The sequence below is a fragment of the Homo sapiens genome, chromosome 14, assembly GCF_000001405.40.
Source record: "Homo sapiens chromosome 14, GRCh38.p14 Primary Assembly".
NCBI lineage: Eukaryota > Metazoa > Chordata > Mammalia > Primates > Hominidae > Homo > Homo sapiens.
The window spans coordinates 80,820,897-80,847,281 of record NC_000014.9 but is presented as its reverse complement, the minus strand read 5'-3'; the positions used below and the strand labels follow the sequence as shown (position 1 = coordinate 80,847,281).

Here is a 26,385-nt window from a genome sequence, read left to right as displayed (position 1 = left end):
TTTGGCACAGCTTGAAACATGCAGGTCTGAGATACATCATGCTTTTCAGTCACCTTCTTTAGTCTTTTTCTTGATTTCCCTCCTTGCCCTCTTATTCAGCCTCTTACAGATGACACTAAAACACTTTTGATGTTTTTTTCAGTGAAAGATATTTTTTCCCCCAAAGCTTCTATAGAAGAGAATTCTGAAGAGACCTTGGAGGATGTCTCTTTCAACCTTGTACTTGATACTTGAATTTCCATTTACAGAGCAAGCTAGCTACTTAGATATTGTAGACAGTCTCTACAAGCTATATTATCTTTCTGGTATTGGGAAATAGTTGGCTGGATTAAAGAATATTCCAGTTTGATAATATATTTCATTGGCCTAGTATTGAATAATGATAAAACAAAAGTTGAAAGTTTAGAAATGTATTCTACATCACAGAAGTAGTAGCATGCCAGCTGTTAGCTTTTGGATTCATTGAAGGGTGCAGTTTTACAAGATGATGTATAAATGTAAGTTGTCATGAAATTCTTGTAATCTGATTTCTATATAATTAACATTTATGTCATGTCTTCTGAAGCTTTTTACTTTATTAAGAAAATAATACTAAAGGCTATTAATTATTAAATGCTTGCAATATACTTTCTGCTCCATTCAGTTCCTCATTTTAACTGTCTTTCTCCAAAATTCTACCATGTATGTTATCTTACACTTTCTTATTTAAGTATTTTTGTAAAGTGTGTGTTTTTCAGGATGCCTTCCGGGGTTGATCAATTTGCTTATAGCTTCCTTGATCTTACCATCCTACTAACCGTGAGCTAGTGCCCATATGACTTTTGTTCTTCTTTTATCTCTTCTTTCCCCACTGGTAACTATTGAGATTATATTCACTTTCTAGGTTCTTGAAGAGTCATTACTTATTCTTTTAGGGACTCTGACTTCTCTCTTTATTCTACTTAATCCTTCAGCATATGTGTAAGCGTCTTGTAAAGCATCTGTAATGCTATTGGGGAATAGTAGAAGTTTATATGTTAAATAAATACTCTGATTGCTACTGTGAGTTGTGTTTAAGCCTGACACATATTTTATGTTCATGCCAAATATTACTAGATCTCAAATTATGTTTAATCACTTTTACTTTGCTATGTGTACTTATATGTTCTTGCCAATATTGTCATTGTAAATTATAACAAATAAGGCTAGCGTGAATCTGTGTGAGTCACTTTGTGCAGCACCATATGCAAATAGACATTTAATGCCGTTAATGCTATGACGATGATGAAAAATGTCTGCTGCCCCTGTTGACTGAACAGCTGCCTGACAATAGACTGAGATTTTCTGTGTGCAGGATTTGTTCAATTTCTATGTTACGCTTTTCTTGAAGAGTGGAATGTTTCTATCTATGTTTTCAGTGAATTTATGCTAGGCCATCTGTTTATAAAGCCCATTTCCATCATTATCAATTAATATTTATTGGGCAACTACTGAGTGCATAGTAATATTGTACAAACAAAAACCGTTTTGCTACAGATAGACTTATTCATTGGCTTAGTACTGTTTTATTTTTATTAGAAAATAGTGAAAAACAAAAAAAACCCTTCTAAACCCAAAGGCATAAAATAACATCCTTTAACTCTGGACACTGGAAGATGTTGTATATTTACAGAGCTTTCTGTTCAAAGATATACAACTTGAGAAATTCTAAATTAAATTTCCATAATTATCTATGATCTTCTATTTGTCAACAATCCTAACTCAGTGGCCCTGCATTTAGAAAGTCAAATGAAGTATTATATTACTCTGGATTTCTAATAAAACTATGCATCTCTTTTTGAGAGGAAACTACTCGGATAAAAACAGACCTTCTACTAGGAGCATTTGTTTTTTGATTTTGAAGGAAATCCTGGAAAGTGCACTTGTTGGGCTCACATTTAACTTTACTTGCAAGATTTTATTAAGTAAAAGATTGCATAAAAATATAATCTGTTCCAGTAAAAGCAATGGCATGTTAGGGAATAATACTCATTACCATTGTTGCTTTTGAATTAAAGAAGTTAAAAGACTTGTATGTCTTTTTAGCATACTGGCTTTTTCATGAAGTAATTAAGGTTTTGTTTTGCAGATTGGCAAATTTATAACATTTGAAGAATGAAATCCTGACACTTGTCAACAGGGGTTTACCTTTGAGTTATTTTTGTAGTCATGGTATTGAATTTTTGCTGATTCATTCATAGTCTCTGGTCTAGTTAGCCTTCTGTGAGGCCCTTGGCTAGGTTTAGGGTAAAGATTGTGTCCACGAAACAGAGCAAAGGGAATTGGTGATTAAACTCATGACCTTGTTTGGGTTCATTGGCACTGGATGCCCTAAACAGTGGTGGATTCCGTAGGTATGGGCATAGTGGAACCAAGAAGTTTGTTCATTGGAGAAAATAGGTCAGAAAAAGCATCCATCTCTTCCACCAAGATAATTCCTATAAGAGCCCTTGTGGATTCTTGGGATTCTTGAAATAATAAACATCTTATAAGAAGAGAAAAATGAAAAAAACAAAAAACACATCTAGGCCATTCTTAAAATAAAACCTTGAGCTTTATGTTTAAATACCATAGATATCTTTAAGGAATGTTATTAAGGATTACTGTTACTATTAGAAATAGTATTTAACATATGATCAATCCTACTTAACTACGTGATATTGGATATTACCTTTTGAAAAAGAGGAATTGTTGTATTTTGTGACTTGACTTATGTGCTTACCATTTCCATCGGGAAAATACACACATTTCAATTCATACCAAGTTTTTTGAATTTCTCCCTTACTTTGATATCCCTCAAGTATGTATGGTATCATAATAGTATCAATATTGAATTCCTTTTGGACTTTTATCAAGCATTTCTACTTTTCACCTACCAAAGTGTGTGGTGTGTGCGGTTTGTTTTATTTTTTATTTTTTAAGTTGTAGTTGTTGGTATAGAATTTCCTTTCCTTGGTCATGGCTGAAAAATAAATTTCTTTGAACAATTTAAGTAATACCCACCTAGCTATTTTTAAATTAGATATTGGTTCAGGGATTTAGAATGTGAATGCGTTGTTTTGTTTTTTTTTGCCTTGAAAAGAAACTTAATTTTTTTTTGTTTTGGTTTTTGTTGGCACAGATAATCCTCAACTGGATGAACTTAAAGGCTAAAATTTTCCATTACTTTAGCTAGTTCTCATGGGGGAGGAATCTCTAATTTGATTTGAGAAAAAGCATAATTTAGAAATTCAAAGAACATGACAAAAAAAGTATGTGTTAATATAAATGAGTAGTACATGTTCTGAGCAATAAAATCCTGCTGTATTATGCATAGAGTCCTTTTAAAAATATGTATTATTTTATTGATGTTTGATGGCTTTGGAGCTGTGTTTAAGCGTCCAAAAAGAATTTTAGAGATAGACATCAGATTTCCATCTTAAAAAAATTTTAATTAAAGTTTCCATGATAGTGTTTTATACATACTCAGTACTTAATATTGAGTTTTTGCTTGATTGAAAATGTCCCTAAAGCTACCTCAAATTTTTAATATACATAAATATAAACAACTTGTAACTTCAATTTATAGCTCGTGTAGTCTACTTTGGATTGGAATCACATCATATTCTGTTAAGCTTAAAATATTTTTTCACTGGCTTTTATTTTCTACCCATGTGAAGAATTTAATTACAAAATATAGTAAGAACAACTATTTTCTAGTTTTCAGTGATATAACTTTTTCATTCTTTATTGTTACTGGAAAAAAAATCTGATTTGATAGTTTGTACCTTCAAGTAAATGATGCTGACTGTTTAATATGAGCACAGACTTGTTTTTCTATAGTGTTGTTAGTTTATCAGTGAATGATCTACATGTTCTTGCCCTTGTGACCAAAGGTGTGCAACTGTAGCACTGCTGAGTGATTAGGAGAACTTGGGATAGGTTATGTTTATAATTTTTCTCCGGAAATTTCATTGGACTGTGTGGGAATTAACATGTGATTTTTATTTCATTCCCATGCCATCATTCTTAACCAAGCTTGCTGGTCCATTTAAAGCAGACAAAGGGCCTTTAATTCCCTATTTGTTCTACATCTTGGAGTGTGTTATCTGTTAGAGCCTCTTGATAAACATGCTTGTTGTCAATGTTGTAGAGATTTTTATGGTTAAGTGAGAGGTCTACAAACATTTTTCTTTTCCCCTTTTTACTACTCTCTGAAAAGAAAAACTACCTTTTTTTTTATTATATATAACTATGAGAGTTTAGAATCACCTACCTCTAAGGAAATGCAGTAGTACAATACACGATATGACACACTTAAGGGAAAGAAGAAAAATTGTTGTTATTAAAGATTTAAATGTGCCCCGGGGACCCTCTATTAAGGCTCATTGTTGTTGCTGTGATCTTCAACGTGTAAAAGACAATCTAAATCCTGGAGCAGGGCACATGATAGTTTTTAGCTAAACTGCTCTTAGGAGACAAACAAGCTTTAAAGGACAAAATAACATAATTATTGAAATTCATTGGCATGTGATTTTTTTTTCTTCTTTTATAACTGCTTTTACTGGGTCCGTTTTAATATAAGTCTAAGTTGCTTGATTTAAGTCAAATGGAAAAGAAATCCAGTGCAGGCTTACACCCTTAAAAAAAGGTAGTAAATTAGTTCACGTTTATTATTAAGGTTTAAAGAAATGGCTTGTGATTTTGATTTGGTTGATTTAAAAATATCTCTCTTTGAGTATTATCTGTGTTTTCAGTGTTTACAGGTGCATCATTGATATATTTAATGGGTCTTAAGTGTCAGATTTTCCTTCTTTGTCTTTCATTTTAAACTAGGTAATGTAGAAAAACTGGTTCAATATTCTAGGCTAGAATATTGCATTTGTGTTTACTTGTTGACTGACTCATGGTATATAGAAAGCAGAGCTAGTGTTCAAACTCAATGGCATTTCTAGATGATATAGTGGAAATGTAGTAATTTGCTTTGGATTGTTCCTTAGTATCTCACTATTGCTTCTTATTGAAAACAATAGAATTTAAGTTATCATTGACAAAAATTTCTTAAGACTTACATATACTTACAGTAAAAGGAGAAATTGAAAAAAGGAGACTTAAATAAAGTTTTAGGCAGCAAGTAGAGCTATAATAGAAAAGTACATTATTTTGGAAAATCAATATTATAAACAACTTATCAGATGTTCTAAGGGGAAAGTAAGGAAGAAAGGAGTAGCACAATATTATTTTAGCAAATTTCTAAGTATCCAAGAGAATTAGAGTTTCTTTTATTCAACCAACTTAAACATAGAAATTTGGATTTTTTTAATTTAATTTTTTTGAGGGTCTCACTCTGTTACCCAGGCTATTATTACCAATAATAATAGTTGCATTTTATTGCACATTTGCTAGGAGCCAGACATTGCTTTATGTGCTCTACAGATATCAAACCATTTAGTTTTCACCACTACCCTATAAGTTTGGTATTATTATTTCAATATGAAGAAGCAGTGCCCTCAGTTGTTAAGAGGCAGGCAGCCAGAATCTATATCCTGTCTCTGTCACTAAGTAGGTGAGTGACGTTAGGCAAATGATCCAACTCCTTGTGCTCCAATTTCCCCTTTAATAAAATGGGCTTGGAATAATAATAATTCATAGAATCATCATGAGGAGTAAATGTATATTTTGAATATATGTAATATATTTATTTATTATATGTAAGAAGAAGAATGCCTGGACATACTAAACACTATAAAAGCATGATAATATTGTTATTCTCAAATCAAAATTATTTTTCATTTTGTTGATGCCTCTCTGCCTCTTTACTCAATTTCTATTTGAGAGTAGGAATTATGGCAGAGGGAGCTGAAATTGATTGAGTATACTTGCATCAAAGCAGTTTTTAACATATTTTGCTGTTTGCCTAAAAATTGTTTTTCTGTTGATCTTGTTGGAAAAAGCTTCTGGCAGTTGGCTTTTCACAAGCTGTATGGACTTTACACATACACCTTGCTAAGTCTAAACACTAAAATTGTTAAAAATATTTTTTAAACAAATGGAATGCATTTCAGATATTATGAAAGACAGTTCCAAGTATAATTTTCCCCTTTAAGTTTAATTTTGTTCTAACATAGAAACAAACCAAAGCAAACACTTTTATAGTTAACTTTTGAAATGTGTATTTTCTTAACTTTCTTTTTCCTCATTTTATTAAAGAGGGGAATCTGTAGAAAAGAATATTTGTTTCCAAGAAAACTGTTAGCTATCTAGGCCCTCTAAATAATGTAGTAAAATTCCCAAAGATGGGGAAAAAAAGGAAACAAAGTGAATATTAATTAGGGTGATCAGGAATTGTTTATATTTTATCCCCACTGAAGTGTTCTTATGAGCAGACTGTAATTTATAGATTTTGTGTAACTCATATCCATGTCTTCTTCAGCCCTAATACATAATAAATTCTAGTAGTGACTTTCAGTTTTGTACATATTTTGGGATAATTTTTTTCCACCTCTTTCATTCCAGGCACTAAAGAAACAAGAAGCTAAAGCAGATGAGCATGAGGGGGCAATAAAAAATAAGCTAAGACAAACTGAAACTGAGAAGAATCAAGTAAGATTTTAAAAGTTATCTTTCAAAGAATAAAGTGGTTTGGGGCCAATGGTATTTGTTGAGTGCCTTGAAAAGTGTCCCCAGGATCCTTTAGAACATTGTGAGTTCTTTATCTTTCTATGTGGAGTCAATTGGTTCAACGGCTCTTCTACTTGCTAGGACTTGCTCTTGAAAACAGATAAGCAAGTTGTTTGCTACCTTGTCATCTATGACCATTCTCCTTTCTGAGAGGTGAATTAAACTTTACTTTTTCTTGTTGGAAACATTTAAAGAACTTGACTTTGTTGCAGGGTTAGAAAAGACCTGTCATTTGGAGACTGAATATTTTGGTTATATTCATTTTCATTATAGTGGACAGATATAGTAAGCAGCCAGTTCTGAAAACATTCTCTATTTATATTAAATATCAATGATCTTTGACATATGTTCATGTTTATGAACTGTGTGTTCATTTCTATGAACACGTAGAGCTTAGCACTTTAGAGTTAGAAAGGAATTCAGAGGCCAAACAACTCTTCCTTAATTTGCAAATAAGTAGATTTAAGGATGAGCTCAAAGTAATGAATGATGAAGTGAAAATTTGCCCTGTTCTTTACTCCGTATTATTGCTTTTTTCTACCTACCATTGCCTCCTTTATTTTATTTCACCAACTCATGTAAAGGCAGCTTCCCTGCTGCTTTTAGGGTAAGCGAAGTATGTTAGGCCATCAGATTTGCCCTTTGGGAGTTGCGATGTTGAAATTACACAGGGATTATGATCAATATGGGCTTTGGTTGAGTTCAAAGTCATTTTGCTTCAAGTATGATTTCTTCACTCTATTTCTCCATAGAGACTGAAGAACAGGACAGTATTTTATGTGGATTCTGTGATCCCCACTTATACTTTACTTTTTTTTAATATGACATTTGTTTTATGAGCCACATGTATAATTTTTAAAAAATTATATATTGGGATTTAAAGATATATTTTGAAATAATTATAGATTTATAGGATATTGTAAAACAAGATGCACAGAGAGGTCCCATGCACCCAATTTGCCTCAATGGTAACATTTTGCATAATTGCCATTCAATATCAAAACCAGGAAATTGGTGTTGGTACAATCTACTTAGTTTATACAGATTTCACCAGCTTTATATATATAACTCATTTGTATTTGTGTGTGTGTGTGTGTGTTTGTGTGAAGTTCAGTCCATTTTTATCTTGTATAGATTCTTGTTACCACTACCACCGTCAGGATACAGAACTGTTCTATCACCACAAGGCTCCCTCATGTTCTTTCATAGGCACACCTACCACATGTACAGTTATTAAATGATTAATATACAGATAGCAGTTGTTCAACTGAAATGATAATTTAGGATAAGTGTTACAAATCTAAGCACTTACAAGCATCTTAATATAAATGTGTGATTTTTATAAAACTATCTTACTGTTACAGAATGCAAACAAGTCTAGCACATATAAGCTCTAAATTGTTAAGAAACTTGTGTTCTATCCTATTACATATTTCAACTTGAAATCATCTAGGCATGTTAGGAGTTTGTAGAATATTTAGTCACTTAACTGGTCACATTTTTTTGAGACGGAGTCTCGCTCTGTTGCCCAGGCTGGAGTGCAGTGGCGCGATTTCGGCTCACTGCAAGCTCTGCCTCCCAGGTTCACGCCATTCTTCTGCCTCAGCCTCCCGAGTAGCTGGGATTACGGGTGTCTGCCACCATGCCTGACTAATTTTTTGTATTTTTAGTAGAGATGGGGTTTCACCGTGTTAGCCAGGATGGTCTTGATCTCCTGAACTGGTCACATTTTTTATCGATATTTATCTAATGGCAGTATCATTAAGGAAATTTTAAATGTCTCATTCTGAATTTAGACATCTAAAAATTTAAGGAATGTCTTATAAATATTAGAAATATTAGGAATGTAGGAAATCACCAATTAGATGAAACTTTTGAGTTATTGGGTCCCTGCAGTTTTTATTCTACTTTAGTTAATTTGACACTGTGTATTCTAATTTAAAGAAAAAAATTGCCTTAGAATTTAGATTAAAGAGATTTAGAACTGGAAGGGATCTTGGAGACTGTTTAATATAAAATACTTATTTTAGAGATGATAGAATGGAGGCCAGAGGAGGAGAGACTTGGACTGGCTCACAGTTGAGATGAAACTTACTAGATCCCAGACTTCCTGAGGCCTGGTCTGGTTCACTTTATGTTATACGATTCACATTATTTTAATGGAAGTATTGATATATGTTCATAGTGAGATATTTATTCTTTTATATTAGCTGTAAATGTCTTCTGAAAACTTTTCCACTTTTCTCCTTTTAAACTGTGCCCATAATAATTTAGTTATCTTCTGCTCCATTGGGCATTTTTCTTTATCCTTTGTTGAAACTCTAGCTTGAACAGGAATTGGAGCTATCTCGAAGGTTATTGAATCAATCAGAAGGCAGCCGAGAAACACTTTTGCATCAGGTAAGTCTATGCAAGTTATTATAATATACTTTTACATTAAATCAGGATTGAGTAGCTCTATTTAAATGTCTTTGTGAAAGGAAAAAAAAGAACTAGGTCTAGAAAAAATGTTTTCCTAAGGAATGTATATTAGCACACCTAAGCAAAGGATAAAATTCTTTCAGGGAAATTCAGAGAAAGCTAGTACAAACACCAGCCAGAGTCCCCACTGTGATGGTGTATCTTGCTGATTGCTGCTACAACTTACTACTTATCTGTCTTAGCATGAGCAGTGTAAAAGTAAGACTGAATGTATAAGATAAAATTTTCCCAGGAGCTTAATTTTATTCCAGGAGGCACTGGGAAGTAAAGGAAGAAGTAAACTACATGCAGCAGACCTTTGCATGTTTAGGTTACTTTGAATAACGTCATTGTCTTTAATTCATGTTTTCAAGATACTACTTGACCCTTTTAAACCAAAGATAAGGGTAATTTTATTTTATTTTTTTTGAGACGCAGTCTCGCTCTGTTGCCAGGCTGGAGTGCAGTGGCGCAATCTTGGCTCACCACAACCTCAGCCTCCCGGGTTCAAGCGATTCTCCTGCCTCAGCCTCCCAGTAGCTGGGATTACAGGCATGCGCCACCACACCTGGCTAATGTTTTGTTTTTTTAGGAAAGATGGGGTTTCACCATGTTGGCCAGGATGTTCTCGATCTCCTGACTTCGTGATTCCCCACCTCGGCCTCCCAAAGTGCTGGGATTATAGGTGTGAGCCACCACGCCCGGCCGATAAGGCTTAATTTTAAAGTATAACGTTTTGCATTCCATCAGCCCATAATGGGAGTTTGGCGCTTCTGATGTTTAAAGTTCAGTAACTTTAAATAACCATCTTACATACATTGGATAAGGGCATATGGGTTTCTAACTGCCTGTCTGTGTTTAATACAAACTGCAATTATACTTTCTTCTGTTTTGAAGTGTATGTTATATAACACACCTTCAGAATATGCTAAGGGTAAGCAAAGATGTCAAGCATTATAGATGTTCAGAAGGAGTATTACATTCTGACAATTGGTGCTGAAAATACAAGATAGCACCTGTTTTACAAAACCTTTGAAAATATTCGCTGACTTTGTTCTGCAGCCAGTGGTCACATGGAATTAATTTTGGCAGAGTTCAAACTTTCCTTTTTGGAAGTTTATATTTGTATTTAATTCCGTTCTGATTTGTTTGGAACTCTAACTTATAATCTCCAGTTTCAGTTATGGAAGCAAGAGATTTCTTTGTTTAGATTGTCATTGTGATTTTAGCTGAATCTTTTTGCCACTGTTAACTTGTTTAATGTTCATTTGGAAGTACCTGCTATGTGCTAGGTAATTTGGCAGTCTAAGGATAGAAAGATAAACAAATCAGTTTCTGACTTCAAGGAGTTTAGAGTTTATTCAACAGCATCTATTACATACTTATTTTGAGCATGATTTTAGTATCAAAATATGCTAAATCATGATCATTTATCTTGAATTTAACAACCAATAGACCATGTTCACATGAAAGCAAATGGGTGAAAATTGAAAAATATAAGAAGTATAATACTTAATTGAAGTTGATTTGGGTTAATAGTAATGGAGTAGACTGAGGACAAAATAAGTGATGAAAAAAAAAATCTAGTCACATTCCATTCTTTGCCTCAGTGGACACAGAGAAGGAAAAGCCATTCATTTATTCTTTGTGGAAGAGATGAGAGGAATGAGGAAATGGAGCAGGAAACCGTTCCACTATGCTTGGAAGGAGATTAACCTGGATTCAACTTGTGTTTACAATAGCCCATTTGAAGTAGGTCTTTCTCTGATTGTGAAAACCGATGTTTGATTTTTGACCATGTGTTAGGTAGAAGAACTGCGTACACAACTTACGAAAGCAGAAGGTGATCGAAAGGGTTTACAGCATCAAGTATCTCAGATTTCCAAGCAACAGTCAAACTATCAGGATGAACAAGGGGAGGACTGGAGATTTAGGAGAGGTAAAAGTAGATTTGTACCTAATAATGTGATAATGTGTGTGGGGGCTTTTTGGTTTTTCTTAGAAAATACTTTTCATCCTCAGAATTGCATTCCTTTGTGATGCTCACGTCATACTATTTCTTGATCTATTAAACATTTTCTGATAAGTTGATAATAATTCAGCATCATCCCATTTTAATATCTTCCCTGCTTGGTTCAAACCCATTTGGGTTATTAGACCTACTTAACCATGGGGCTTTCTCTTAGAAAGAGCCTGCAAAAGCAGTAGTTTTTCCAGCCTCCGATTCCCATGCCCAAATATACGTGCATATGTGTAAGTGTGTACCAGTCTTTGTACTTAAATTGTAAATGTTGCTCTGTCTTTCACATTCTCTTATCTCAATTTTCAGTATAAGAGAAATTAAAGTCAGTACCCTATCTTTTTTGTCGTCTGGAGTTGGTGACAAAAATTAATCACAACTCAGGAGTGGTCATGAGCTGTATCACTGGCTTTTTATGTGGTTTAGGAATACTTTGTGTTTGAAAAATATTAGGATACCTTCTCAGTGGAGGTGTTAATTTAAATTATGGAATTTAATGACTGGATGTATATTCAGGTTTAATAATGATAATATTGAGATTATATAATTGTTTCTATTAGGTGAGTTCACATTGCTCAGCTTCTGTATTATCCCAATAATGAGGCTTCCTACTCAAATGCTCAAAGTATTGGTGAAATTTTTGTAAGTGTTGGATGTACTGTTAAATTCAGGGAAGGTAAATATTGCCCCAGGCTTTCCAAATACACCTCCATATGTTGCCTAAGCTAGAATTTCCACATTGCCAGAAAATCTTCAATGGATGACAAATTTTGACAAAGCTATTCTAATATATTTTCTTAGTCTGTTTTGTGTTACACTAAAGGAATACCTGAGGCTGGATAGTTTACAAAGAAAAAAGCTTTATTTAGATCGCAGTTCTGTAGGCTGTACCAGAAGCATGGCTCTAGCATCTGCTGGAATTCTGGGGAGGAGTTTTGTGCTCCATCCAAACAATGCAAAAGAGGTCAAATGGGGAGTGGGGATGTGTAAAGGGGGACCAAATTCAAGGGATGTCCTGGCGTTCTGACAACCCACTCTTGTCTGAACTAATCAGTTCCCTTGAGAACCAGTCCAGCCTCAGGAGAGCAAGAACTCACTCCTGCTACAAGAAGGACACCAAGCCGTTCATGAGGGACCTGTCTACGTGACCCAAACACCTCCCAGTAGGCCCCATCTCCTAACAGCCATAGTGGGGATAAAATGTCACCATGAGATTTGGTGAGGACAAATAAACTATATCCAAGCCTTAGCATATTTTTATTTGTATGCCATTAAGTTTCATTAAGTTTCATGTGATATAATTTAAGTATCATTTGACCCAGAATATCACTTGTTTTTAAACAATCCTAAGCTGTTAGCTTCTTCATCAAACTTCATAAAGATGCACACAGGAATTGTTGGAACAAAGACCAACACATTTTTTATGTTTTGATACCTCATAAAATGTAATTATTTCTGTTGTAAGTCTTTGAGGACTAAAAATATTGAGCTTTTCTTAGCTACTTATCAGGTATGAAAAAAATTTTGGAAGTTTTTTTATATATGTGATAATGGACTTCTTCACCGTTTAACAATTGTAGAGTTTTTCATCTTTACAGAATACTTAGATTATTTAAAGACAGTTCTACATTAGAAATCATACTTATCATATTTTCAGCTGGTATTTCTTCCTCTGCCCACTGCAAAATGGGTTCCACCTGTATTTGTAAAATTGACTTTGCATGATTTGCTAGCAATTCCAATTTGCTAGCAATTCTGTCAATTCCAAGGATGTCGTTGCATTACTTATTTTAGTGTTACCTGCTTATTTCTTCTTCCTTCTTGAAACTCTTCCTGTGACTTCTATGCCTCTTGCCTTTCCTAATTCTTCTGTCTTAGTTATTTACATTCTTTGTATTTGAATCTTTTTGCTGTGTTCACAGTTTGTCTTCTAAATGTTGGTTTTGCCTACTATCCTACTCATGGCTTTTGTTACTTAGTATGTCTGCCTGGGAATTGATTAAAAATTATCACCTAGAGGTGATAATTCCTAAATCTAGCTCTATTTGCTCTCCTAACCATTGGCCCTCCAAATGGAGTTGCTCATTGGATATCTCCATATGCTGTTCCTCAGAATGCATGTTGATACACAGCTGAATTCATCGTCTCCTCAAAACATGTTTTTCTTTCCTGTCTCAGTGTGTGGCATCATCCTCCATCCAGACATCCAAGCCTAAAATGCAAAGAACATAGAAATTATTTATTCTCTCCTCCATATAATTAGTTTCTACCTCATGCCTATTTATACATCCTGATATCTCCTGAATTTGCAACATTCTCTTTCTTATTCCCACTGCCCCGGCTTAAGCATGCTTTGGTCAGTATAGGACATGTAGTACTCTCTTGTCTTACCTATTCTGGCTTCTCTGTAATCTATTTTCTTTTCTATTACTAAAGGGCACTATTCTTATTTCTTATTTCTATATTAATGATTATAAAAAGGACCCAAGAATAAAGAGGTTGAGTTACTTGCCCAAGATCACACATGAGGGAAGTAGCAGACTCCAATTTTTTTTTTTCCCCAAATTTGAGATCTTAACTGCTATCCTATACTGACCAAGCATTCTCCAAAATGGAGCGTTTGTAATGCTGTTTATATTTTATACTTTTTGTTTTAAATATTTTAACTTTTTTGGGAAATGTTTCATTACATATACTACATGTGTATGTATGTATAGATGTGTGTGTATATTTATCTTTACTAGTATATATATATGTAAACATACCAAAATATATCTCCATATCAAATATATATGTTTCATAAAGTATACATATATGTATACATACATGCCTTCATATTTTATATAATATATATTCATTCTAATGTTACATCCATGTGTATATATCAAGAAACGTATCAATATATACATATTATTGAGACATGTTATATGCACACAAATATACACATATAAAATAAAATACATATATTTATAAAATAAACAAATACATTTACAAATAGATAAATATGTACATTTTCAGGTTGGTTACCTATCAGAAGTAGGGAAAGTAGGGCTCATGGGCCAAATCCAGACTGCCACCTGTTTTTGTAAATAGACTTTATTGGAACACAGCTACTCCCATTCATTTATGCAATGTCTAGGCTACTTTTGCAATACAGTGGTTGAATTGAGTAGTTATGACAGAAATCATATAGCTAAGATATTTATTATCTGATCCTTTATAGAAAATGTTTGCTGATGCTTGGTTTGTAGGATAAATTCTTCTAAGTTTCCTAGCAACACATAAACTCTGTTGACACTCCCTCCTCCCACCCTTGTAACATATGAGATGTATTAGCTACTTGAAACTTCTGTGTGTGCAATTACCTGAATGTTAAATTCAGTTTTGTACCTGTATGCTTTATGGTATGTGCTTTCCCTAAAAACACCCCAACTCCTTCTCCTTTGCTTGGTGAAATTTTGTATTCATTCTTTAAGTCTGACTTAGTTCTCAGTTCTTCCTACTTTAGTTCCTCACTGAGACAGAGCTAATCCCTTTTACTGTTTGTACTGTTTCTGTATAATCCACATGTATGTATCAGCGCTCTTATCATCCTATTGAAATGCCCATATGTCTTCCATTCTAATATGTACAATTTTGAACACTAATATTCTGAAGTGGGAATGTATTTTATGAATGATGTATAAATTTAATTTGTTAGTGTTTTCTTCTTTCATTGCCTCCTTTTTTTTTTCTGGAAAGGAAACCACTAGAAAGACAGTAGTTTTAAAATGACAGACAGTATATGTTCCAGTTGTTGACATTTTAGACTCCATAGAGTACTTTATATTTTGTCTCTATTCTTGGGATGTGTATTATTCTGTTCTCACACTGCTAATAAAGACATACTTGAGACTGGGTAATTTATAAAGGAAAGAGGTTTAATGGACTCACAGTTCCACGTGGCTGGAGAGGCCTCACAATCATGATGGAAGGCAAAGGAAAAGCAAAGGCATGTCTTACGTGGTGGCAGGGAATAGAGCTTGTGTAGGGGAACTCTCCTTTATAAAACCATCAGATCTCATGGGACTTATTCACTATCATGAGAACAGCATGGAAAGAGCTGCCCCCATGATTCAATTACCTCCCACTTGGTCCCTCCCACAACATGTGGGAATTACGGGAGCTACAATTCAAGATGAGATTTGAGTGGGGCAGAGCCAAACCACATCAGGATGTAAGCTCATTGAGGATGAAGTTTTGTTATTTGTCCTTATATTAGAAGAAGGTATTATAGTCCCCTGTGTAGCACAGGTCAAGTATTTCATGTTGATTTAAATACTAAGTCAATTTATATTGTTAAATGATATATTAATTTCAGGTAATAATCTCCAGATGAGTAAGGATTAGTAAATTGGTTGGTCATACACAATCAGAGATTTAATAGCATCATTTGTTGTTTATGTTGCAAAAAAAATATTTTGTAGATGAAGTAGCTTAGTTGAAAACTCTTTTTGTATTTTTTTTTTTTTTTTACTGTTTGGAGATAGTGTAGAGATGTGAGGAAAATTTAAAAATGTGTGTGATTTTCTTGAAATAAATTGCAGTAGAAATCAGGTAACATTTTAAGTTTTAGTATCAAACTGGAATAATATTTGATGATATAGCAATGTATATGTTTTTGAAAGCTATAAAACTTGAAACAACAGGCTGGCAAAGTCTGTTGAGTAACTGTCAATAAATGGATTATGATAGCTAGAATATTGAAACATCAGGGCTCAGTACTATTTGAAAGTACATTCTTCTGTGAATAAAGAACAACCCTTGAGCCTTACATTTTATCTTTTAAGGGGTTGAGCGGGAAAAACAGGACCTGGAGAAGCAAATGTCAGATTTGAGAGTGCAGCTGAACTTCAGCGCAATGGCATCTGAGTTAGAGGAAGTGAAACGGTGCATGGAGAGAAAAGACAAGGAGAAAGCACATTTGGCATCACAAGTAGAGGTGACTTTGCTCTTTTTAAGTCATATTCGAAATATTTTAATTTTATCTCATGGAATTGCTTAATGAAATTTTAATATAAAGATGTGTTATTTTATGAACTCCAGTGTGAGCATTGATAATATAAAGTTATATTAATGACTGATTTACTTATATGTAGAAATTCCTATGGGTTCATTTCTCTTTCATTCAGGACCCCAAAGCCAGGAACCTGGATGATTTTCCTTTATTATTTTACAGAGAAATCCTTTACTATTTTTAAATTTGAAAATATTTTTGTTCTAATAGCAATTGAACCCTTTCTACAGACAGAAGGGACCTTTTTTGTTTGAGAGAACAGTGAATTATTATTTATTTTGCGGGTGAAACTGGCAGAATGCATAGTGAAAAGGTGTTACCAATAATTCTTCTTTGGAACCATAAAGGTTTTCAGACCTCTAGTTGTTCTGCATGAGGTGGAATTGCAATGCCTCCATTAATTTAGAGTTGTGTAGCAATCATGGATGATATGGTAACCGTGAATGGAGTATAACTAGGCAGCTACCATTTCCTGCTTTTATCTAGCATAGATGAGGTAATTATCAGTATATATTAAAAATCAAAGGAAAAGACCTCATAAAAGGAAATGGTTTAATTGAAATTACAATTATGCAAATTAGATTAAACATGGATGACACATTTGGAAATAGATATGTATCAATCCTCCCTGTATCTGTTTTTGTAAGTGAAGTTGTGTTCTAATTTCAAGTATTTCCAAAATTAAAATGAAAGGTAGAAAATTAGTGTTAAAAGCACCTAATTTTATATAACCCAAAGGAAATATTTAATGTTACTCATCTGTGTTTCTCTTTCATCTTGTCAGCACATCAATAGAAAATGTCTTTTAAATTTGGTTCAAGATTTGGATTGTAAAGATAATGAAATATTGACATACTCTTTACAAAGCCCTCTACATGTTTAATAAAGACTTACTTGAAATTGTCTCAGAGCAATGGTAATTATACAACTTTTAAAGTTTGCTTCATGGGTATTATTTTAGCCCTTGATCCTGCTGATGAAAATGCTAAAATATGATTATTTTGCTGAAGTCACGTATTTAAAAAGAAAGTATGTTGGATAGATCTAAAAGGTAGAAAAATCCCTTTGCTCTATGTTCATAACCACACATTGGTCCTCCCTCCCTTCTTTCCTTCCTTCACATTGTTTCTTTTCACTTGCCATCATGGTATACATTGGAAAAAAATCTCAAATATGTGAGCACTAAAAAAATTATTTGTAATAGCCTAATAATGCTCTTATTCAAGATTCCTGGCTTTCCCCTTGTCCTAACTTAGTAGTTATTTTACAATTTCTTATGGGTTAGGGGAAGAATTTGAGTCCTCTTGGGTTAGTTTGGTTTGGTTGTATAGAGTTTGGGTGTGAAAAACAATTGGAGGAAAGGTTTTTACAACACAGCAAATATTATTGACTGCCTGTTACATGCCAGACACTGTTCTAAGTGCTGGCAACATAGCAAAGAACACAAATGCAGCCGATTCCTTGTTTCTCACAGTGGATCTAAAATTGATGCAGGCTGGGAGCAGTGGCTTGTGCCTGTAGTCTCGGCTACTCAAGAGGATGAGGTGAAAGGATTGCTTGAGCCAGGAGTTCAAGGCTGCAGCGAGCTGTGATTGTGCCACTGCACTCCAGCCTAGGCAACATAGTAAGACTCTGTCTCTAAAAAATAAGTAAATAAAAATAAAGTTGATGCAGAAAGTTCTTTGAGTTTGTCTTGCTTCTAAGAATAAATTTCTTTTTGAGAATGAAATTTTTTTTTCCAGTTGCCATTGCAAAGGACATCACAAAGACAATGTTTATCCCTGTAAGACATTAGCATTAACTAGTTGCATTTTTTCTGATTTTCTTAATTTGAACAATAAAATAGTTAATTAAATTTGCAGCTGTTTCTGATTTAGTGACACGTCTGATTTTCCTTTATTTTTCATAAAAGAACTATTAAGTTAGAACAAGTTTATTGTCTGTATCACTAATGTTCTTATGGCACCTTTTGGAGGCCATTTGAATATCTTTGTTCCCAAGCTGTTCTCAAAGTCATGTTTCGTGCAGACTTTGTGAGATATTAGGTCATAGATTACTCGATTGTAACCTCTAACAATTGAGAATTTTCTTGAAATTTAGTCTCTGCTTTATTTTTAGAAAATATTGGGTAGTATGGAGCTGTTGCCTTATACATTCTATTAAAAAAGAGAGATTAATCTTCTTTAGTTGCTTTTCAGAGACCAAATATGAATAAAAAAGATGCACAAAATGAGATCATTGGTCAGGCCCAAGAACATATATATAGTAACAGTTCTTATGATTTATTCAATCATTAATGTGTTTCTTTTTAACCTTCACTTTCTGACACCTCTCCTACAGAACCTCATATGTGGTCTTGTCAAATAATTCCTTTTTTCTTAAACTTCCCTACTCAGCTCCATCAGTTTTTCCTTTGTGCCAGTTGTTCACTGTTTCTGTGAACAACTTTGAATGTCTTTTCTTTCTTTTTGTGGAAATCCTAAACTTTTTCCCCCATGTAAAAGTGGAATTGGATTAAATCAGCTGTAAGTGATCCTTCTTCTTTCTGAATAATCCTTTTGTCCATATCACTAATATTCTTATGCCCCCTTTCTCACACTCTCTTGAAGTAATCTGGGTATGTTTTGTTAAAAATTTCAAAGTGGGGCCAGGCACAGTGGCTCACGCCTGTAATCCCAGCACTTTGGGAGGCCAAGGCAGGCGGATCACTTGAGGTCAGGAGTTCGAAACCAGCCTGGCCAACATGGTGAAACCACATCTCTACTAAAGGTACAAAAATTAGCCAGGTGTGGTGGCAGGTGCCTGTAATCCTAGCTACTTGGGAGGCTGAGGCAGGAGAATTGCTTGAACCTGGGGGCGGAGGTTGCAGTGAGCCGAGATCGCACCACTGCACTCCAGAATGGGCGACAGAGTGAGACTCCATCTCAAAAAAAAAAAAAAAAAAGAAAAAAGAAGCAAAGTAGGCCAAAATAAAGTAGAAAAAGAGACTCAGGAAAAAGCCAGCTGCCCTGTCACCAAGACAGAGTGAACTTTGGTGCCCTTACATTGGTGGAGACATCATGTTTCAAGGTCTTGTCCTCACATCTGGAAACTTGAGTTTTCTGTGTGTGACCCAGGAGACTGGCTCATATTAACAATGAAACTCAGAAGAGAGAGGTGTGGGTCAATGCAAAAGTAATTGCAAAAACTGAGATTACTTTTGTACCAACCTAATATACAAAAGAGTACCACTTCACTGATTTACCCTGTGGGAGCCCTATACAGATATGAAAACATTATTCTCTTATGCAGGGCACCAATCTCCTAATCTTCTGGCTTTAGAATTAGTAACCAAAAAATTGCTTAATGAACACAGAATCAGAGAATAATGATGCCTTAAGGGTTGTTTGTTCATAATTATAGTAGAAATTCTCAACCTCCCACCTCCCTTTTTACAGAGTCCTTACAACCAGAGATACTGTACACTTCAGCTAGATTCTATGTCTTTATTCCTGGAGTGTGTTGAACTGACATCTCTTCTCATTCCAGCAATCTTCTATGCTTTCGCTCTGATGCTCAGTCTTATGTTTAATTTTTCTTTTGATATGTTGCTGTGCACGGATTTTGCTCTGGGCCACTTACTAGTATGCACTGATGTTATAATTCAGAGTTGTGGCATTCTGGGAGCCACTTATGAATTTAAAGCTTCTATTCCTGTTGAGATTATAAATGGGTTAAGAACCAAGTTTTATCTCTGTGTCCCTATGTGTTCCCACACAGTCTTACCTATACTAGGTGCTTAATTAGTATTTGTTGAATGAAATAATATGTTGTAAAAAATTTATGTTTTTTCTTTTTAAACTAATATTTGCTATCTAGTCATTTCTTAAAAGCACATCCATTTCTGGAAGATTTGTCAGTATTTAAGGGGACCTTTGCTATATCTTACTAATTGCATTAGTTTTTGTTGATCCAGAATATATATTTCAAGCAGTTGTTTTACATTAGAGAAAAACAGTAAAAATGGCTCTTAAAAAAACAATGGAAGGAAGCTACATTTGAGTTTGCATAATTTACCTTTTAAATTGTACCTAAGATCTTAAATCTGTATATGCATAGAAAATACTAAGTACACTTTTCCCTTCTTGTAAACTCAAGTTGAACCTCATTAACCTTGATAGCCTATTTGTATTCATAAGAATTCTAAGCATCCTTGATCAGTTATTTCCCCTGATTTAATCTTTGCCTCCATCTTCCGTCAACTTACTCTTCTTGAAAAAAAATTTGACTTTTAAATTCAAGAAAGAACTTCAAAGAAAGGAAAAAACAAGATGCTGAACATAATTTAGATTAAATGTTGAAAGTGATAATTGAGTGACAACTGACATGATAATTCATTAGCAGAAACTTGGGACTATAATGGGAGATTTTAATTTTTTTTTAAAAGAGGATGGTATAAAAAAGAAAGGATAATCAATAATAGCTTATTTTTATGATTAGTACAATACAAATAGAAGGAAGGTTGTTTCTTTTACCATAAACTCTTGATTCATGCATTTGTTTCATAAAGCTGACCATTTTACTGTATGCCCGCTTTAATATTACTTTTAATAATGAGATTAAACCCTTTTTGGAGACCAAAGGTCTTAGAGACCTTAATTATGCTGGTTGTAATTTCATGTTCAACTTCATTTCTAAAATCTTAATTTCTTCCTTATCTAAGTGCATATTGTAAAATATGCTATTACCTGAATAGCAAGTAATTTTTAATACCTAGATTAGATTATAAAGAAAACAAACATTGGCCACAACTTTGTAGAGAGAAGCTATTAATAAAGTTATGGTATCTAGTGGAAATGAGGTCTGCTTCTGTTATTAACCAAATTTACTCTGGTTTGTGGGCACATTACTGAATGCCCTATACTTCTGTATTTTTCACAAAGATGACTATTGGCAGAGCTGTTTTTTTTTTTTTTTTTTTTTGAGACAGAATCTCGCTCTGTCACCCAGGGTGGAGTGCAGTGGTGCGATCTCGGCTCACTGCAACCTCCGCCTCCTGGGTTCAAGTGATTCTCCTGCTTCAGCATCCTGAGTAGCTGGGATTACAGGCGTGTGCCACCAGGCCTGGCTAATTTTTGTATTTTTAGTAGAGACGGGGTTTCACCATGTTGGCGAGGCTGGTCTCGAACTCCTGACCTCATGATCCGCCCGTCTTGGCCTTCCAAAGTGCTGGGATTACAGGAGTGAGCCACCATGCCTGGCTGAGATGTTCTGCAAGTAAAATCCCTATAACTAAATAAGCCTTTATACCTATTAGAAGACTTGGTTTAATTCTCAGATCTTTCATCTGTATGAAAAAATGAATTTTGGGAGTTATGAGGAAAGGTGGTTTTTCTGTTTTCTTTAACTCTCTGAGTTGCAGAAAGCAGAAGTGGACTGAATATTTTAATTTTTTCTTGAATGTATTACTAATACATTAGCTTGTATTTATTACTAATTACTAATTAGTTTGTATTTATTACTAATTACTAATAGTTTGTATTTATTGCTAATACATTAGTTTGTCATTTGAATGTGGTCAGTAAAACAGTTTAGAAATAAAATATCTATTTTCAAGTTTCTTCGTTTTCTGAAACCGTAATAATTTCTGCCTCATGTTTTTTACATATAAATTAAATAGGGCTGGGCATGATGGCTCACGCCTGTAATCCCAGCACTTTGTGAGGCTAAGGCTGGAGGATTGCCTGAGCTTAGAAGTTCAAGACCAGCCTAGGCAACATAGTGAAACCCCATATCTACAAAAAAGTACAAAAAATAGCTGGGTGTGGTAGCATGTGCCTCTAATACCAATTACTTGGGGGGTGATATGGTTTGGCTGTGTCCCCACCGAAATCTCATCTTGAATCCCCACCGTTGTGGGAGGGACCCGGTTGGAGGTAATTATTGAATCATGGGGGCAGGTCTTTCCTGTACTGTTCTTATGATAGTGAATAAGTCTCATGAGATCTGATGGTTTTATAAAGCAGTTTCCCTGCACAAGCTCTCTTCTCTTATCTGCCACCATGTAAGACATGCCTTTCACCTTCCGCGATGACTCTGAAGCTCCCCCAGCCACGTGAACCTGTAAGTCCATTAAACTTCTTTCTTTTGTAAATTGCCCAGTCTCGGGTGTGTCTTTATCAGCAACATGAAAACAGAATAATACAGCAAATTGGTACCAGGAGTGGAGAGCTGCTATAGATACACAAAAATGTTGAGGCAACTTTGGAACTGGGTAACAGGCAGGGGTTGGAATAGTTTGGAAGACTCAAAAGAATACATGAAAATGTGGGAACGTTTGGAACTTTCTATAGACTTGTTGAATGGCTTTGCCCAAAATGCTGATAGCATTATGGACAATAAAGTCCAGGGTGAGGTGGTCCCAGATGGAAATGAGCAACTTGTTGGGAACTGGAGCAAAGGTGACTCTTGTTAAGTTTTAGCAAAGAGACAGGTGGTATATTGCTCCTCCACTTGAGATTTGTGGAATTTTGAACTGGAGAGAGATGTTTTAGGATATCTGTTCAGAATAAATTTTTAAGCAGCAAAGCATTCAAGAGGTGACTTGGGTGCTGTTAAAGGCATTCAGTTTTATAAGGGAAGTAGAGCATAAAAGTATGGAGAATTTGCAGCCTGACAATGCAAAAGGAAAGAAAATCCCATTTTTCTGAGGAGAAATTCAAGCTGGCTGCAGAAATTTGCATAAGTATTGAGGAGCCAAATGTTAAACCCCAAAACAGTGGGGAAAATGTCTCCAGGGCATGTCAGAGACTTTTGCAGTAGCCCCTCCCATCACAAGCCCAGTGGCCTAGGAGGAAAAAGTGGTTTCATGATCCGGGCCCAGGGTCCCCATGTGGTGTGCAGCCTAGGGGCTTGGTGCCCTGCATCCCAGCTGCTCCAGCCGTGGCTGAAAGGGGCCAATGTAGAGCTCAGGCTGTGGCTTTAGAGGGTGCAAGCCCCAGGCCTTGGCAGCTTCCATGTGGTTTTGAGTGTACGGGTGCACAGAAGTCAAGAATTGAGGTTTGGGAACCTCCACCTAGATTTCAGAGGATGTATGCAAATGCCTGGATGCCTAGGCAGAAGCTTGCTGCAGAGGCAGGGCCATCATGGAGAACCTCTGCTAGGGCAATGTGGAAGGGAAATGTGGGGTTGGAATCCCCGCACATTGTCCCTACTGGGGCACTGCCCAGTGGAACTGTGAGAAGAGGACCACTTCCTCCAGATCCCAGCATGGTAGATCCATGAACAGCTTGCACTGTGTACCTGGAAAAGCCTCAGACACTCAGTGCCAGTCCGTGAAAGCAGCCGTGAGGGGAGCTCTACCCTGCAAAGCCACAGGGGTGGAAGCTGTGCAGGGCGGTGGGAGCCCACCTCTTGCATCAGCATGACCTGGTTGTGAGACATGGAATCAAAGGAGATCATTTTGGAGTTTTTTTTTTTTTCCCAAGCCAAACTGTATCCAGCTTTATTAAAGATACTTTCCATAAACAATCATGGTATTTCAGGCAGGACATGGGCAGACAGTCGTTAACAGTATACAACAACTTTCAAATTCCCTTCTTCAGTGGACTGCCAAAAATCAGAAAGCCACTGTAAAACCCAATGAAGTCTTCATCTGATGCTCTGAACAGGGAAAGTTTAGAGTGAGGGTTGACATTTCACATTTAGCATGTTGTTTAACAACTTTTCACAAGCCGACCCTGACTTTCAGGAAGTGAAATGAAAGTGGCAGAATTTATCTGAAGATCCGCAATCTCGAAATGGAACCACTGCTCTTTTGACAGGTGCCATCTCAGTGGCATCACTGGAAAGTCCAGATTGCCTGACACATTGGTAACCAATGACTAGGGGTCAGGTCCCAGTAGTGGTCTGGGTTTAAGGGAGTTAAGTCTTTGCTGAAAGATGGAAAGGGAGAAGAGGACATAGAAATGAATTTGTTTTTCCATAGCACAAGGCTTTTGTGCCAAGGTGGCCATGTGTGTCAACGTCAGGGAATCCCTCCTCCTGGGAGCCAAGAGGAAGTCTCTCAAAACCAGAAGGGAAAGGTGTTTTCCCCACATCAGTCCAGCTTTGGAGACATTCTGTTAGTGACGTATGCCCCTTCCCCCAAAAACAACAATGAAGTGTTCTGTGTGCTAACAACATAGCTTAAAAAAAAGTAAAATTATGCAGTTTTATAAAACTTGATAAAAAATAGTATTTCAAACTGTGCAGTCAACAGAAGTTTACACAGTTATCAAAAATGCACACACTTCACTTGGCGTCTCCAGCACCTTCAGTTTTATGTGCCTGGTCTGTTTTGGCATCTCCATTTTCTACAGGGCTATTCCCCTCCTTGCCAGCATCAGCTTTTCCCTTTTTCCCTTTGGGTACTTTCTCTCCCTTCTTTGCAGGGGCCTTTTTACGCTTGGGTTCTGGCTTTGGAGGAGCAGGTTTAGCTGACAACCTCATGGATCTTCTGTGTGATTCGTCCTTCACCTTGGCTTTATCTCCTTTAGCATCCCCTTCAGCCTTTCTCTTGGGCATGGTGGCGGCAGGATGTAGGTGGTGGACGCGGGATGCAGTGGTGCACGGGCTTTGGTTGGTTAGGGGTTCGTTCTCGCCTCTTCTTCACACTGCTCCCATTTTGAAGTGTTAAGATTTGACTTCCCTGTTGGATTTTGGACTTGCATGGGGCCAGTAGCCCCTTTGTTTTGGCCAATTTCTTTCATTTGGAATGGCTGTATTTACTCAATGCCTGTACCCCCATTGTATCTAGGAAGTAACTAACTTGCTTTTGCTTTTACGGGCTTATGGGCGGAAGAGACTTGCCTTGTCTCAGATGAAACTTTGGAGTATGGACTTTTGAGTGGACTGTTGGGAAGGCATGATTGGTTTTGAAATGTGAGGACATGAGATTTGGAGGGGCCAGGGGCGGAATGATATGGTTTGGCTCTGTCCCCACCCAGATCTCATCTTGGATCCCCATGTGTTGTGGGAGGGACCTGGTGGAAGGTATTTGAATCACGGGGGCAGGTCTTTCCTGTGCTTGTCTCATGATCATGAATAAGTCTCATGAGATCTGATGGTTTTGTAAAGCAGAGTTTCCCTGCACAAGCTCCTTTCTCTTGTCTGCGTGCCTGTCACCTTCCGCCATGATTGTGAGGCTTTCCCAGCCATGTGGAACTGTAAGTCCTTTAAACCTCTTTCTTTTGTAAATTGCGCAGTCTCAGGTATGTCTTTATCTGCAGTGGGAGAATGGAGTATTACAGGGGGCTGAGACGGGAGAATCACTGGAGTCTGGGAGGCCGAGGCTGCAGTGAGCCATGTTCACACCACTTCACTCCAGTCTGGGTGGAAGAGCAAGACTTCATCTCTTAAAAAAAAAAAATTAAATGGGGCCTTGTGATTCTTAGCTTTGTGTGCATGTGTGTGTGTGTGTGTGTGTGTGTGTGTGTGTGTGTGTGTGTATGTGTGTATGTGTGTGACATATAACTTCAGTTCCTCAGAAAATATGAAGTATTGATAACTTTTTATTATCTATGGATCTATTGAAAATTTAAAGCAATTTGGAAGATAAAATACAGCTTTGGGAATACTTATTTGAGGACTTGCTATGGAAAAAAGGGTGGCACTAAACAAATGCGGTAATGTTCCTTGAGTAAGTAATTAAGAGTTATTCAATGCTTGTCTACCTGAAATACCATTGAAAGAGGGTTGGTATTCTTTATAATGAGCCAATTTTAACTGTTCATACATTATTCCTGTAGTCTTTTTAGTTTCCTTATCTTTAGAGTGATTTCAACTTGATAGCATATCATTTTAAGTAGCAAATTAAATTGTTTTTTAGATATTTGCTTTCAGGTAGTTCTCTCTAAGGGCATAAGGAAATGAGATTGCACTCAGCCTTAAACAGTAACAAAATTCAACAGGTCTATTATGCTCTTCAAAATGTTCAAATAGTACAAATTATCTTTGTAAAAAGTAAAGCTAACTTATTCATATGCACTGAGAAAACATTCTTTTAGTTCCTAATACATAACATATGACTAATATAAACAATGGTCAACATTAGGAAGATTTTTTTCAAGCACATTAAATGTGTTTAATTTCTAGTACTTTACTTGGGTGAAGAATGTGTTTGTATCATAGAATATATTATTTTGTGGGAACC

General features: G+C 35.7%; 1 protein-coding gene and 1 pseudogene across 16 annotated transcripts in view; one reads left to right on the top strand and one right to left on the bottom strand.

Annotated features, from left to right (window-relative positions):
* The window catches only part of CEP128 (centrosomal protein 128), a 482,534-nt gene that overhangs the window by 112,221 nt on the left and 343,928 nt on the right, over window positions 1-26,385 (top strand). For 15 of the 16 annotated variants that reach the window (NR_157142.2, XM_047431023.1, XM_011536493.3 and 12 more), the window contains 4 exons: window positions 6,514-6,600; window positions 9,004-9,078; window positions 10,945-11,077; window positions 15,988-16,139. Coding sequence is in view for 15 of the 16 variants with exons in the window: in XM_047431023.1 (XP_047286979.1) it covers window positions 6,514-6,600; window positions 9,004-9,078; window positions 10,945-11,077; window positions 15,988-16,139 (447 nt within the window). In the remaining variant the exon portion in view is untranslated. Of the gene's footprint in view, window positions 1-6,513; window positions 6,601-9,003; window positions 9,079-10,944; window positions 11,078-15,987; window positions 16,140-17,076; window positions 17,131-26,385 lie in introns of those variants that run through there. The other variant, XM_017021043.2, reaches the window with a different exon arrangement.
* HMGN2P2 (high mobility group nucleosomal binding domain 2 pseudogene 2) lies at window positions 23,676-24,853 on the bottom strand (annotated as a pseudogene).